The sequence below is a fragment of the Homo sapiens genome, chromosome 2 (assembly GCF_000001405.40).
Source record: "Homo sapiens chromosome 2, GRCh38.p14 Primary Assembly".
NCBI lineage: Eukaryota > Metazoa > Chordata > Mammalia > Primates > Hominidae > Homo > Homo sapiens.
The window spans coordinates 44,373,666-44,390,309 of record NC_000002.12 but is presented as its reverse complement, the minus strand read 5'-3'; the positions used below and the strand labels follow the sequence as shown (position 1 = coordinate 44,390,309).

Genomic DNA, 16,644 nt, shown 5'->3' with positions numbered 1-16,644 from the left:
TTACAAACATTTCCTGTATTGTCAAAGCTGGTAAGGACATCTTCAACATTCAAGGATCCACTATTATGCCTAGAAAGGAGTAAAGCGTTTGCTTTAATGATTCTGAAATGTTAACATTTTTAGTATTCAAAAAAGCTGAGACTGAGACTGTATATTATGGTATACCCAATAGCAATAAATTATTCCATGCTATATTTTAAGAATATTTTCTGCCCACTAGAGGGAGAAGGAAAGAAATAACAGTATGGTCCTCAGAATATTTAACATAATGACTTTTTAAATGATTAATCTACATCTTAAAGTACTAACAAATAATATTTACTTGTTGGGTTTTCATTATGTAAAGGGAAGTTCTTAACCTTTTTAAAGCCAAAAACCCACACAGTATACTTAGAGAATCAAGCTGAAAAATCATCACCTTCCAGAACCACACTCAACAATACATAAATTTACTCTATAACAGCACAAAAAATTCAGAACTTCAGTCACAAAGAAATAGCCAATCTTCAGGTCTGCTATTCCATCTACAGACAGTTATGAATGTCAGGGAGCAAAGTTTTTGTATCTTTTGCCCACTAATCTTAATTCTAATGCCTTTAATTCTAATCCCGCTTCAGTTAACAACTCTTTTAAATATTTGACTTGACACTGATATTTTATTAATACCTATGAAAAATACTATTTGTTATATACAAATAGACTCAATTGTGCAATAGGTCATAGAGTTTGAGTTTCTCAGGGGAAAAAAAAAATTAGTGCTAATCCATCTACAATCCTCTACATTCTCTCCCATATAATTTACAGCTGAAGTTCTTTAGAATGTTATAAAAGTTTGTAATAACCATTGATAATTCATAAAAATTTACTTCAACATTCACTTTGTCATTTAAAACTTGTCATAAGTGATATATAGAATTACGGACTGAAGTGTGCCTCCCACTTTCCCCAAATTCTTATGCTGAAGCCCTAACCCTGGTACCTCGAAAGGTGACTATATTTAGCAATAGGGCTTTTAAAGGTAATTTAGTTAAAATAGGGTCATTAGGGTGGGCCCTAATGCAATGTGACTGGTTTCTTTATAAGAAGAGGAGGTATTGGGAATCTCACCCCCATCCCCCACAGCAGCTACAGCAAGACCCACCCAAGGAGATTCTGAGCTCAGACAGGCCTAGCCCTGCCCCTACATGATGGTCCTTCCCTACCCAGCCTGGTAGCTGAAGACAAAGGGCATATACTCTTGGGAGGTCTAGGGCCCCGCCCACCACCAGTTCCTCTCCGTATTACTACAGTTGATGCTCTCTGGAAAGCACCACCTCCCAGCAGGAGGTCAACCAGCACAAAAAGAGAGCATTAAACCACCAAAGCTAAGAACCCTCACGGACTCCATTGTACCCCCCACCCCGCCACCTCCACCAGAACAGGCACTAGTATCCACAGCTAAGAGACCCATAGACAGTTCACATCACAGGACTCTGTGCAGACAACCTCCAGTACCAGCCCAGGGCCAGGTAGACTCACTGGGTAGCTAGAACCCAGGAGAGACATCACAGCAGTTCTGCTCATAGGAAGCCACATCCATAGGAAAACGGGGAGAGTACTACATCAAGGGAACACCCAGTGGGACAAAAGAATCTGAACAACAGCCTTCAGCCCTAGACCTTCCCTCTGACGGAGCCTACCCAAATGAGAAGGAACCAGAAAAACAACCCTGTTAATGTGACTAAACAAGGCTCTTTAGCACCCCCAAAAAAATCACACTAGTTAACCAGCAACGGATCCGGACCAAGAAGAAATCCCTGATTTACCTGAAAAAGAATTCAGGAGGTTAGTTATTAAGCTAATCAGGGAGGCACCAGAGAAAGGCAAAGCCCAATGCAAGCAAATCCAAAAGAACAATATAAGAAGTGAAGGCAGAAACATTCAAGGAAATAGATAGCATTAAGAAAAAACAGTCAAAATGTCAGAAAACTTCAGACACACTTTTAGAAATGTGAAATGCTCTGGAAAGTCTCAACAATAGAATTGAATAAGTAGAAGAAAGAAATTCCGAGCTCAAGAACAAGATCTTCAAATTAACCCAATCCAACAAAGAGAAAAAGAATAAGAAAATATGAACAAAGCCTCCAAGAAGTCTGGGATTATGTTAAATGACCAAACTGAAGAATAATCGGTGTTCCTGAGGAAGAAGCTTGGAAAACATATTTGGGGGAATAATCAAGGAAAATTTTCCCGGCCTTGCTAGAGACCTAGACATCCAACTACAAGAAGCTCTGGGAAATTCATCACAAAAGGATCATCACCCAGGCACACTGCCATCGATTATCAAAAGTTAAGATGAAGGAAAGACTCTTAAGAGCTGTGAGGCAAAAGCACCAGGTAACCTATAAAGAAAATCCTATCAGATCAACAGCAGATTTCTCAGCAGAAACCCTACAATGCGGAAGGGACTGGGGCCTCTCAAACAAACAAAACAATTGTCAGCCAAGAATTTTGTATCCAGTGAAACAAGGCATCATATAAGTAGGCATCATATATGAAGGAAATTACAGTCTTTTTCAGACAAATACTGAGAGAATTCACCATTACCAAGCCACCACCACAAGAACTGCTAAAAAGAGCTCTAAATATTGAAGCAAATCCTGGAAACACATCAAAGTAGAACCTCTTTAAAGCATAAATCACACAGGACCTATAAAACAAAAATACAAGTTAAAAAGCAAAAACAAAAAAAAACAAAGTACTCAGGCAACAAAGAGTACAATTAATGCAAGGGTACCTCACATTTCGATACTAACAATGAATGTAAATAGCCTAAACGCTCCACTTAAAAGACACAGAACCGTAAAATAGATCAAAACTCACCAACCAACTATCTGCTGCCTTCAAGAGACTCATCTAACACATAAGGACTCACACTTAACTTAAAGGGGTGGAAAAAGGCATTTCATGCAAATGGATACCAAAAACTAGCAGGCGTAGCTATTCTTATATCAGACAAAACAAACCTTAAAGCAACAGCAGTTAAAAGAGACAAAGAGGGACATTACATAATGGTAAAAGGCCTTGTCCAACAGGAAAATATCACGATCCTAAACATATATGTACCTAACACTGGAGCTCCCAAATTTATAAAACAATTACTAATGCCTAAGAAATGAGATAGACAGCAACACAATAATAGTAGAGGACTTCAATACTCCACTGACAGCACTAGACAGGTCATCAAGACAGAAAGTCAACAAGGAAACAATAGATTTAAACTATACCTTGGAACAAATGGACTTAACAGATACATACAGAACATTTTGTCCAACAACTGCAGAATAAACTTTTTATTCAACAGCACATGGAACTTTCTCCAAGACAGACCATATGATAGGCCATAAAACGAGCCTAAATACATTTAAGAAAACTGGAATTATATCAAGCACCCTCTCAGACCATGGTGGAATAAAAGTGGAAATCAACTCCAAAAGGAACCTTCAAAACCATGCAAATATATGAAAATTAAATAACCTGCTACTAAATAAGCACTGGGCCAAAAACGAAATCAAGGTGGAAATTAAAAAATTCTTCGAACTGAATGACAATAATGACACAACCTATCAAAATCTATGGGATACAGCAAAGGTGATGCTAAGAGGAAAGTTCATAGCCCTAAATGCCTACATCAAAATGACTGAAAGAGCACAAACTGACAGTCTAAGGTCACACCTCAAGGAACTAGAGAAACAAGAACAAACCAAACCTAAACACAGCAGAAGAAAGAAAATAACCAAGATCAGAGCAGAACTAAATGAAATTGAAACAACAACAACAAAATACAAAAGACAAATGAAAGAAAAAGCTGGTTCTTTGAAAAGATAAATAAAATTGATAGACCATTAGCAAGATTAACCAAGAAAAGAAGAGAGAAAATCCAAATAACCTCACTAGGAAACAGGAGATACTGCAAATGACACCACTGAAACACAAAAGATCATTCAAGGCTACTATATTTACACACATAAACTAGAAAACCTAGAAGAGATGGATAAATTCCTGGAAAAATATAACCCTCCTAGCTTAAATCAGGAAAAATTAGATACCCTGAGGCACCCAGCTAGCCCAGTCAGTAAAGCATGAGAATTAGATACCCTGAACAGAACAATAACAAGCAGCGAGACTGAAATGGTAATTTTAAAATTACCAACAAAAAAAAGTCCAGGACCAGATGGATTCACAGCAGAATTCTACCAGACATTGAAAGAAGAATTGGTACCAATCCTTTTAACACTATTCCACAAGCTAAAGAAATAAGAAACCCTCCCTAATTCATTCTATGAAGCCAGCATCACTCTAATACCAAAACCAGGGACAGACATAACCAAAAAAGAAAACTACAGACTGATATCCTTGATGAACACAGATGTTGAAATCTTTAACAAAATACCAGTTAACTGAATCCAACAACATATCAAAAAGATAATCCACCATGATCAAGTGGGTTTCATATCAGGGATGCAGGGATGCCTTAACATATGCAAATCAATAAATGTGATACACCACATAAACAGAATTAAAAACAAAAATCACATGATCATCTCAATAGATGCAGAAAAAGCATTCGACAAAATCCAGCATTGCTTTATGATTAAAACTCTCAGCAAAACTGGCATACAAGGGACATTCCTTAATGTAATAAAAGCCATCTATGATAAACCCACAGCCAACATAATACTGAATGGGGAAAAGCTGAAAGCAGTCCCTCTGAGAACAGGAACAAGACAAGGATGCCCACTCTCACCACTGCTCTTCAACATAGTACTGGAAGTCCTAGCCAGAGCAATCACAAGAGAAAGAAAGAAAGGGCATCAGTAAAGAGGAAGTCAAACTGTCACTGTTTGCTGATGATATGATTGTTTACCTCGACAACCCTAAAGACTCCTCCAGAAAGCTCCTAGAACTGATAAAAGAATTCAGCAAAATTTCCAAATACAAGGTTAATGTACACAAATCAATAGTTTTTCTATACACCAACGGCAACCAAGTAGAGAATCAAATCAAGAACTCAACCCTTTTTGCAACAGCTGCAAAAAAAAAAGGAATACTTAGGAATATACCTAACCAAGACGTCAAAAGACCTCTACAAGGAAAACTACAAAACACAGCTGAAAGAAATCACAGACGACACAAACAATTGGAAACACATCCCATGCTCATGGATAGGTAGAATCAATATGGTGAAAATGACCATACTGCCAAAAGCAATCTACAAATTCAATTCAATCCCCATCAAAATACCACCATCATTCTTCACCGAATTAGAAAAAACAATTCTAAAATTTATATGGAACCAAAAAAGAACCTGCATAGCCAAAGCAAGACTAAGCAAAAAGAACAAATCTGGAGGCATCACACTACCTGATTTCAACTATACTATAAAGCCACAGTCACTAAAACAGCGTGGTACTGATATAAAAATAAGCACAGAGACCACTGGAACAGAATAGAGAAACCAGAAATAAATCCAAATACTTACAGCCAACTGATCTTTGACAAAGTAAACAAAACAAAAAGTGGGGGAAAGGACACCCTTTTCAACAAATGGTGCTGGAATAATTGGCTAGCTATATGCAGAGAATGAAACTGGATACTCATATCACCTTATAAAAAATCAACTTAGGATGGATTGAGGACTTAAATCTAAGACCTGAAACTATCAAAATTCTAGAAGATAACATTGGAAAAACTCTTCTAGACATTGTCTTAGGCAAGGATTTCATGACCAAGAACCCAAAAGCAAATGCAAAAAAAAAAAAAAAAAAAAGATAAATAGCTGAGATCTAATTAAACTAAGGAGCTTTTGTACAGCAAAAGGAACAGTCAGCAGAGTAAACAGACAACCCAGAGAGTGGGAGAAAATCTTCACAATCTAAACATCTGACAAAGGCCTAATATTCAGAATCCACAACGAACTCAAACGAATCAGTAAGAAAAAAACAAACAATCCCATCAAAAAGTGGACTAAGGACATGAATAGACAATTCTCAAAAGAAGATATACAAATGGCCAACAAATATATGAAAAAAATGCTCAACATCACTAGTGATCAGGGAAAAGCAAATCAAAAGCACAATGCAATACCACCTTACTCCTGCAAGAATGGCTATAATCAAAAAGTCAAAAAACAATAGATACTGGCGTGGATGCTGTGATCAGGGAACACCTCTACACTGCTGGTGGGAATGAAAACTAGTACAACCACTATGGAAACAGTGTGGAGATTCCTTAAAGAACTAAAAGTAGAACTACCATTTGGTCCAGCAATCCCACTACTTGGTATCTACCCAGAGGAAAATAAGTCATTATTCGAAAAAGACCCTTGCACACTCATGTTTATAGCAGCACAATTCACAATTGCAAAATCGTGGAACCAACCCAAATGCCCATCAATCAACGAGTGGATAAAGAAACTGTGGTATATATATATATACAATGGAATACTACACAAAGGAATGAATTAAGGGCATTTGCAGTGACCTGGATGGGATTGGAGACTATTATTCTAAATGAAGTAACTCGGGAATGGAAAATCAAACATCATATATTCTCACTGATATGTGGGAGCTAAGCTATGAGGATGCAAAGGCATAAGAATGATACAATGGACTTTGGGGACTTGCGGGGAAGAGTGGGAGGGGTACAAGGGATAAACAAATATGGTACACTGTATACTGCTCAGCTGATGGGTGAACCAAAATCTCACAGAACACCACAAAAGAACTTACTTATGCAACCAAATACCACCTATACCCCAATAACTTATGGAAAAAAATGAAAATTGAAATTACAAATTAAAAAAAGGGGTCAGGTGCAGTGGCTCATGCCTGTAATCCCAGCACTTTGGGAGGCCGAGGCAGGCGGATCACAAGATCAGGAGTTTGAGACCAGCTTGGCCAGTATGGTGAAACCTCATCTCTAATAAAAATACAAAAATTAGCCGGGTGTGGTGGCATGCGCCTGTAGTCCCAGCCTCTCGGGAGGCTGAGGCAGGAGAATTGCTTGAACCTGGGAGGTGAAGGATGCAGTGAGCTGAGATCACGCCACTGCACTCCAGCCTGGGTGACAGAGCGAGATTCTGCCTCAAAAAATAAAACTAAAATAAAATAAAATAAATTATCAACTGAAAAAAAAAAGAGGAGGTAGGACACAGAGAGACATCAGGGTCATGCATGCACAGAGGAATGGCCTCCGAAAAGGCAGTGTGAGGGCGGCCATCTGCAAGCCAAAGGGAAGAGGCCTCAGAAGAAACCAAACCTGCCAACACCTTGATCTCAGATTTCTAGCTCCCAGAGCTGCAAGAAACTAAATTTCTCTTGTTTAAGCCCCCCAGTATGTGGTGTTTTGTTTTGGCAGCCAAGCAAACTAAAACATAGTAAGAGAATACGTGTAAACTGTATTACCCTTTCCATAAAAATAGAGCTTTTCTTTATTTCTGCCACAGAGGCCCAGTCCTTTGACAGGGTAATTAAATGAGATGAAAAAAGTTGGCCGGGCGTGGTGGCTCACGCCTGTAATCCCAGCACTTTGGGAGGCCAAGGCGGGTGGATCACCAGGTCAGGAGATCGAGACCATCCAGGCTAACACAGTGAAACCCTGTATCTACTAAAAATACAAAAAGATTAGCTGGGCGTGGTGGCAGGCACCTGTAGTCCCAGCTACTCAGGAAGCTGAGGCAGAAGATCGGCATGAACCCGGGAGGCGGAGCTTGCAGTGAGTGGAGATCGCGCCACTGTACTCCAGCCTGGGTGACAGAGCGAGACTCTGTCTCAAAAAAAAAAAAAGAAAAAGAAAAAGAAAAAAGTTATTTGCAATATGACTGACCAAATAAGCACTAGGCCCCAAAGTATCATAATCTGAAAAAACAAAGTCACCAATCACAAATAAAACAATCATAATAACATAATGATTCTTTGTCTTCTCTGGGCCTATAAGATTCTAGGTAGAGATGAGGTTATTTACACTAATATGGAAAACTACAGTAAATACTAAGAAAAGATGAAAATGAGCAAAATATTTAACCTCCAAAATGCAAGATGACTCACGCCTATAATCCCAGCACTTTAGGAGGTTGACGCAGGTAGAATCACCTAAGGTCAGGAGTTCAAGATCAGCCTGGCCAACATGGTGAAACCCTGTCTCTACTAAAAATACAAAAATTAGCCAGGTGTAGTGGCAGGCGTCTGTAATCCCAACTACTCAGGAGGCTGAGGCAGGAGAATCGCTTGAACCCAGGAGACAGAGGCTGCTGTGAGCCGAGATCGTGCCATTGCATTCCAGCCTGGGTGACAAGAGCGAAACTCCATCTCAAAAAAAAAAAAAAAAAAGTGTAAGATAAAACTATTAAAATTATCAACAATACAGTATTGAAATCCAAAAAAAGTTTTAATATAAAAGCAATATACGGTTCCTTCAAGAAAAAACTGCTCATAATCCTAACATGGAGAGATAACATGAGAATTTTGGTACGCAGCCTTCAAATCTTATTCTATGTTCACATATTCCTTTTATTAAAGAACTGAAAGCACTTGTCCATATTGTTTTGCAATTTGTTATTCACCAATTATAACAAAGTATGTATTATAAACAGTTTCCCACATCATTAAGTAATATCCCATAATATGATTTTAATGGCTGCCAAGTTCAATGGATGTCTGCACCATAATTTATTGAACCAGAACTTTATGTTGGATTTTAAGATTGTGCCCAATTTTGTACTATTGTGCACACTGCTGCAGTGAACATTCTTGTGGAAAACATCAAATCTATTTCTGATTGTTTACTTAAGATACATTGCTAAAAGTGGAATTGTTTTATGGCCTAATTTTAATAAGAATATTCTCTTCTTCTTGCATCTGTCTCTCTCCCTCTCTGTCTCTCATATATCAGGATGAAATAAATACTTGTAATTAAATCTGAAACAAGTAGAAATAACATGCACATATTTTGTAATAATGGTAATTTTTTTTAATTTCTAAAAAACAAACTGAGATAATAGAAGTTAAGTACATGTTTTAAAAGTTAAAAACACTATTCAAAATAAAAAATTTGATTTCAACTTATCACTGAAGCAAAACTTGTCATTCTGGAAAGCATTATTTCTTTTTTGAGATGGAGTCTTGCACTGTCACCCAGGGTGGAGTGCAATGGCGCAATCTTAGCTCACTGCAACCTCTGTCTCCCGGGTTCAAGCGATTCTCCTGCCTCAGCCTCCCGAGTAGCTGGGATTACAGGTGTCTGCCACCACTCCCGGCTAATTTTTGTATTTTTAGTAGAGATGGGGTTTCACTATGTTGGCCAGGCTGGTCTCAAACTCCTGACCTCGTGACCCACCCACCTCAGCCTCCCAAAGTGCTGGGATTACAGGTGTGAGCCACCATGCCCGGCCGAAAGCATTATTTCTTAAAGAAACAGAATGCTTACCATATGACCTTTTTAAGGGGGTAGGCAGTGGAGAAACAGTAAACCTCATCCTATACCTCTAAGATACTTATAAAAATGAAATCAATTATCCATGAAGTTATCAGGGTTTAAAAACCCTAAAAGATGGCATCTTATGAAAGAATAATGTTAATAATCACTATTTTCAAAACTATAAGAAGTTAGTTCTAATTATAGGAAAACTGCTATCAATATAGTATGACAAAGATTCAGTTTGGTTACTTCAAGTTCCATTTCATTTGTTCCAAACTTAAGGACTGTTCTTTTTCACTGAGTCATCTACTTTATTCAAGCGTCAAGTCTACAAGCTCTTGTCTAGTCTTAGTTTTTCAACTATTTACCTAGGTCCTGTCTGATCTCTGTGGTTCGCTAGTAATGCCTATAACAAAAGAAACTGCTCAAACTTAAATTCTTAAAAACTTCAGTCTTAGCATTATACTTGTAATTAATGTTATGTGACAACTACGATTTTTTGCCAACATACTCAGAGTATAAAAAGTTCACTCTATCTTTGTCCTAAACTTCAAAGCTTTATCCCAAACCATTAACAATGGCCAGATTCTTCTCCCCAGGGCCAAACCATTTTTTTCACAAGCACCTAAAGCTATCCTAGAACTGAGGAACTTTGAGTTTCTTCCTAAAAATGGCCTGCTGAGTAAGGACTGAGGAACGAGTCATTGGGGCAGATAATTATTTGAAGAGGGAAAAAGAAAAGCTGCTAGAGGAAAAATCTGAAGCCTAAACATGCCAAGAGGTTGAAACTAGAGGTGAAAAGCAAGCCATGGATAAATATGACATTAAAATTATAGATAACAAATGAAAAAATAGACATGTTACACCTCATCAAAATTAAAAATTTTGTGCATCAAAAGATACTACATATCAAGAAAGTTAAAAGAAAATGCACAGGCTAGGAGAAAATATTTGCAAATATCACATGTATGATAGGGTCTAATATCCAGAATATATAAAAATAACTCTGACAATAAAAAGAGACAGCTCAATTAAAAACACAAAGACAGGAGTGCAAAAGTCCCATTGGAAAGAAAATAAAACATTAAAAAAAAAGCAGGCAGAGAACTTGAATAGGCATTTCTCAAAAAAAAGAAAAAAAATACAAATGGCCAATAAGCACATGAAAAGATACTCAACATCATTAGACAATAGAGAAATGCATATCAAAGCCACAGTGAGATATCACTTCATATCCACTATAAGGGTTGTAATATTTTTTAAAAAAGAAGAAAAATTAACAAGTGCTTCACTGATAAGTATGGGGAGAAACTAAAACACTCATACATTCCTAGAATATAAAATGGTACAGCCCTATGAAAAATAGTTGGCTATTCCTCAAAAAGTTAAACATAGAGATACCACATGACCCAGCAATTCCACTCCTGGGTACATACCCAAGAGAATTAAAAGCATATGTTCACACAAAAACTTGTACATGCATATTCATAGTGGCATTATTCATAATAGCCCAAAATTAGAAACAATCCAAATGTTCATCAACTGATGAAAAAAACAAAATACATTAGCCATACAGTGGGATGCCATAAAAAAAGTATGAGGTACTGTTATGTGGTACAATATGGCTGAATCTTAAATTTAAAAAGATTACGCTCAGTGAAAGAAGACAGACATACAGGGCCACATATTGTAGGATTCCATTTACATAAAGTGTCCAGAACAGACAACACATAGAGACAGAAAGTCAAGTACTGGTTGCCAGGGACTAGAGGAAGAAGGAGAATGGGGAGTTACAGCCAATGTATATGGGGTTTCTTTTCAGGGTAATGAAAAAGTTCTGGAATAGTGGTGAAGGCTGTACAACATTGTAAATATACTTAAAACCACTGAATTGCATACTTTAAAGTGATTAAAATAGCAAATTTTGTTATGTAAATTGTATTGTGAGTAAAAGAAAATTGATCCAAAAATACAAAGTAAGCCAGAGAGTGGAGTGGGTCCTAAAAGGCTGCAGAAGAACAAAGAGGAGAGGTTTTCAGAAGGTTTTAAAAACTTAATTCTAGGCCAGGCGCGGTGGCTCACGCCTGTAATACCAGCACTTTGGGAGGCCAAGGTGGGTGGATCATGAGGTCAAGAGATCGAGACCATCCTGGCCAACATGGTGAAACCCCGTCTCTACTAAAAATACAAAAATTAGCTGGGCGTGGTGGCACATGCCTGTAGTCCCAGCTAATCAGGAGGCTGAGGCAGGAGAATCGCTTGAACCCGGGAGGCGGAGGTTGCAGTGAGCCAAGATTGCACCACTGCACTCCAGCCTGGTGACAGAGCAAGACTCTGTCTCAAAACAAACAAACAAACAAACAAACAAACAAACAAACAAACTTAATTCTAGATGCTTTGGAGTTCTTTCAAAAATAAGTGCTTAAAAATTACAAATTTTAAAAATAGCTAAAGAGATGTTTTCCAGTCTCATGGGTTTTAGGAAATTAGTAGATGGTTTCTACATGTACTATATTGGGATTTGGAAAATGTTTAAGGGAACATTTCAATTTACTGAAACAGTATATTTATATGTAAGCACGTTACATAAAAAATTGCAATGAAATTTAAAACAAATTAGAAAACTAAGTTATACTAGCCCATATCTATGATTTAAGATCCATAAAAATGTGACACAATGGAATTCACAGTTTTCTGGAAACTACGGATCATATTTTAAAGGTCCTAAAAAACGTTGTTTTATTGCTATAATCACCTCTGTTGTTAATATCACTACTAACAATAAAACTATGCTTTTAAATATAGATGCAGTATTCGTATTTGTCTTAGATGCCAGCCTCGCCAAGCTCTATATACGTACCTAGGTTATACTACACATACAAAAATAATCTGCCATACATCTAATTTCATAAGCAAACCATCTAATCACTAGTTTTTATTTACTGAACATTCACAAGCTATATAACTAAAATAATGAGGTGAGGGTTTGGTTTGTCTTTTTCTTTCCCTAGAAATGGAAGGTATGATCTCGGTGTAGTGCATTTGTTATAATAGAAAGATGCAACACAGTCAAAGACAAAGTCATTCTTGACTTTTTGCCCATTCTAAGTTCCCAGGACAAGGCAAAAGTCAAGAGTTCTAGCCTTCTAATTCAGCAATTACCATAGTAACAGTAGTCTTCTTCAAACAAAGAAGGACAGTTCAGGCCTCTCAGCTTTCTCTATACCTAAGACACGTATACACTTATAAATGAATAACTCAGGCACTTCTATGGTTCCATATATAATGGAAGCAATTTAAAGCTTCCAGAATATGCAAATTCCTGCTGTGCTGGAATTAAGTTGAAATATGGGAGATAGGAACAATTTCTTGTATCTACACAGCAAGCTTTATACAACAATATATTATAGTTTATGAGATAGGGAAAAGGAAATTTTAATCAAAGAATTTTGGTATAAACATCTCCTGGTGTCTCTTAGCTTATATACTTGCATCTATCTAATAACAAGAGCCTCTTCTACAAAGTTCTAAGAAACAAAGTACCAAAGTCCAGGCATAGTGGCTTACGCCTGTAATCCCAGCACTTTGGGAGGTCAAGGCAGGCAGATCCCTTGACCCCAGCAGTTTGAGACCAGCCTGGGCAACACAGCAAAACCCCATCTCTACAAAATATACAAAAATTAGCTGGGCATGGTGGCATGTAACTGTAGTCCTAGCCACTTGGGAGACTAAGGCGGGCGGATTGCTTAAGCCTGGGAGGTCAAGGCTTCAGTGAGCTATGATCATGCCACTGCATACCAGCCTGGGCAACAGAGTGAGACCGTCTCAAAAAAGAGGAAGAAAGAAAGTACCAGAAAGGCAAGAATAGTTTGTCAAGGAACAAAATCCAGGAGTCATACCCTGGATTTTCATTTCATAACTCTCAACACGTAATTTGAAACAAAGAGTCACCATCCACAGGTAGACAAAGACGACAACAAACCTTGGGAGTTTTGTAACCTAACTTTTACATTGTTTAAACTTTAGCTTCAGATGAAAAGTCACTAAGGGAAAATTATTCCTTCATTTTAATTATTATCATGTAAGGCTGACAGAAAATAATGGTCAAAGTTTTTAAGGTCACTGCTTATATAAACAAGATACAACTAGGTATTTTGAATTCACAAATACCTAGGCATTAACCCTCTTGGGGGTATTCACTTCAACTCTAATAAAACTTTAAGGAGACAGAAATGAATGGGTAGCAAAAGTTTAAGATAGACAAAACTAATAGGTATTGATAACAAGTGCTGATCACCCTGTGTGTGTTATCTCTGTTAAGCTGTGGCAGGTGATCTTAGGCGATAAGAACTGAGAAAGTGAAAATGGGGTTTACAATTATGATTTGTGAGGAACTTGTAACATCCCCAGTGTCTATTTTTTTTTTTTTTTTTTGATACAGAGTCTCACTTCGTCACCAGGCTGGAGTTCAGTGGCACAATCTCATCTGACTGCAACCTCCACCTCCCACGTTCAAGCTATTCTCATGTGTTAGCCACCGAGTAACTGGGATACTGGGATTACAGGCATGAACCACCATGTCCAGCTAATTTTTTTTGTATTTTTAGTAGAGACAGGGTTTCAGCATGTTGGCCAGGCTGGTCTCAAACTCCTAGGCTCAAGTGATCCACCCTTCTCAGCCTCCCAAAGTGCTGAAACTACAGGCATGAGCCACTGTGCCCAGCCCAAAATCTCCAATGCTTAGCCCCTTAATAGAACCTGGAGCAGGCTGGGCGTGGTGGCTCACACCTGTAATCCCAGCACTTTGGGAGGCCAAGGCAGGTGGATCACTTGATTTCAGGAGTTCAAAACCAGCCTGCCCAACATGGTGAAACCCTGTCTCTATTAAATATACAAAAAAATTAGCCAGGTGTGATGGCACACACCTGTAATCCCAGCTACTCAGGAGGCTGAGGCAGGAGAGTCACTTGAACCCTGGAGGTAAAGGTTGCAGTAAGCTGAGAATGGGCTACTGCACTCCAGCCTGGGTGACAGATTGAGACTCCTTCTCTAAAAAGAAAAAAAAAACCAAGAACCTGGAGCAGATCCACCATATAATATATATTGATAATCATTCCTCCAGCTAAAGACTGCAATGGCCTCTTCTCAGTAGCCTCTGATGATTCTGTCTTGCTCTTTCTTACCCTGTGTATTTTCTAGTATCTTTGCCATCATCTGGGCATCCCCTTCTCCCAGAACTTTCAAGTACTTCCAGATCCAGTTTTTTTAAAAATCATTTCCAAAACTCACTCCTACCTCTAAACTTCTATTAAGTGTGAGTATTCCACTCATTTTGAAAGTACTTATGCACAGCCTGGTGAGAGTTCTTACACTGAATAGTTAACTTTCCTTATTTAATTATTTTTATTATTTAACTTTTATCTATTTCAGCTCCTTAAGCATAGTATTGTATATTTATATTTATTTCTGTTTTTTTATATATATATAGAAGGTGCTATTAAATATTTATTGGTTTGAATTTAACACTATTCATCCCTTTTTTTTCAATCATCATTACTGCTGATTAAACAAACTTAAAAAATATAGAGGAAGATGAGAGTACTCCACTTCATTGCAAAACTACTTCTAAACCACTGCTTTGGGCTATTCCAAGTAATATTAAAAAACAAAACAAAAAAAAAACAGAAACCCTGGCCAGGCATGGTGGCTCAAGCCTGTAATCCCTAAAGGGGTCTCACTCTATCGCCCAAACTGGAGTGCAGTGGCATGATTATGGCTCACTGCAGCCTTGAAATCCTGGGCTGTAAGGATTCTCCTGCCTCAGCCTCCTGAGTGCCTGGGACTACAAGCACATACCACCACCCCTGGCTAATTTTTAAAATTTTTTGTAGAGACAGGGTTTCCCTATGTTGCCAAGGCTAGTCTTGAACTCCTGGCCTCAAGTGATCGTCTTGCTTCGGCCTCCCAAAGTACTGTTATTTTTGCACTAATGTGGACAGATACTAACTAGTTTGAAAAAAAAAATCTTGGCAGCCAATGAAGCCAACACTTTAGCTCAGTCACGTGTCTTTTTTCCAACTCAATGTCATATTTGTATAGATATACATTTATTCTTTCATATATCACAAGAAGATATATCACAAAGAACAATGCTGTTGGAAAGGAGTCCCAGTTTACTCTATAGCTTGGGCTCTGGATAGTACTACATGAGGATCATCTCTACAAGTGGATAACCATGACTTGCTTTGAAAGATCTCAAGAAGAGACTATTTCACATTCTCACTGGCTAACCCTTACCAGGGCCTTGAAGATGTCAGGAAATTATTCTTGCTATAATTTATACTTATTGTCTCTTTTCACCAGTGGATGCAGAAGATAAGTTTTAGAACTTTATACCTAAAGACCCCTACTGGATCACTCTGTCCTTTCTTGTCTTTCATTTCCTTCTAAATGTTTAATCATTTCCATTCCTGCTTCACAAAGTTATTGTAAGGATCACTTGAAATGGAATACATCAAAACACCTAGCTCTGTACCTGACACAGAGTAAGCATATACCTTTCTTTCCTTTCTAACCAAGGACAAAACTGATTATCTCCATCAAAAGGCAAAGCAGTTGGGGTATCCTAATGAGAATCTCATAATTAATGTACAGGTACACCCCAAAATCTGTAAGTTTATATATTTTATTTGGCATTTTCTTTACTTTGATTTTTTTTTTTTTTTTTTTTTTTTTTGAGGCAGAGTCTTACTCTGTCATCCAGGCTAGAATGCAATGGCACAGCTCACAGCAGCCTCAACCTCCCGGGCTCAATCAATCTTTCCACCTCAGCCTCTGGAGTAGCTAAGACCATAGGCACATGCCACCATGCCCAATTAATTTTTGTATTTTTTGTAAAGGTGGGGTTTTGCCATGTTGCCCAGGCTGGTCTTGAACTCCTAGGGTCAAGTGATCCACCCACCTTGGCCTCCTGAAGTGCTAGGATTACAGGCATGAGCCACTGCGCCCAGCCGGCATTTTCAGTAAAATAGTATTATAAAACCAGATTCTAATTGTTCTTTCCTGCCCAACCTAGTCAATTTTTATCCAAATCCCAATTTTTAGCTATTATGTTTTAAAGCTTAGATATTCTAAACTAAAATAGCTCGAGAAACATATACTATAAAAAGATACCCTTTGTGAAAATTT

At 37.9% G+C, this 16,644-nt stretch overlaps 1 protein-coding gene across 7 annotated transcripts in view, besides 1 other annotated feature; it reads right to left on the bottom strand.

The window, feature by feature from the left end:
- CAMKMT (calmodulin-lysine N-methyltransferase) overlaps positions 1-16,644 on the bottom strand; it is a 410,646-nt gene that overhangs the window by 382,283 nt on the left and 11,719 nt on the right. For all 7 annotated transcript variants that reach the window (XR_939723.2, XR_007081736.1, XR_939722.3 and 4 more), the window contains exon 3: positions 5-69. Coding sequence is in view for 4 of the 7 variants with exons in the window: in NM_024766.5 (NP_079042.1) it covers positions 5-69 (65 nt within the window). In the remaining 3 variants the exon portion in view is untranslated. The remainder of the gene's footprint in view (positions 1-4; positions 70-16,644) is intronic.
- Positions 7,633-7,833: a silencer, noted in NCBI's record as "peak3688 fragment used in MPRA reporter construct". NCBI's record gives its function as "represses an SCP1 promoter by STARR-seq MPRAs in K562 erythroleukemia cells {active_cell/tissue: K562}" and the evidence as "EXISTENCE:reporter gene assay evidence [ECO:0000049][PMID:32103011]".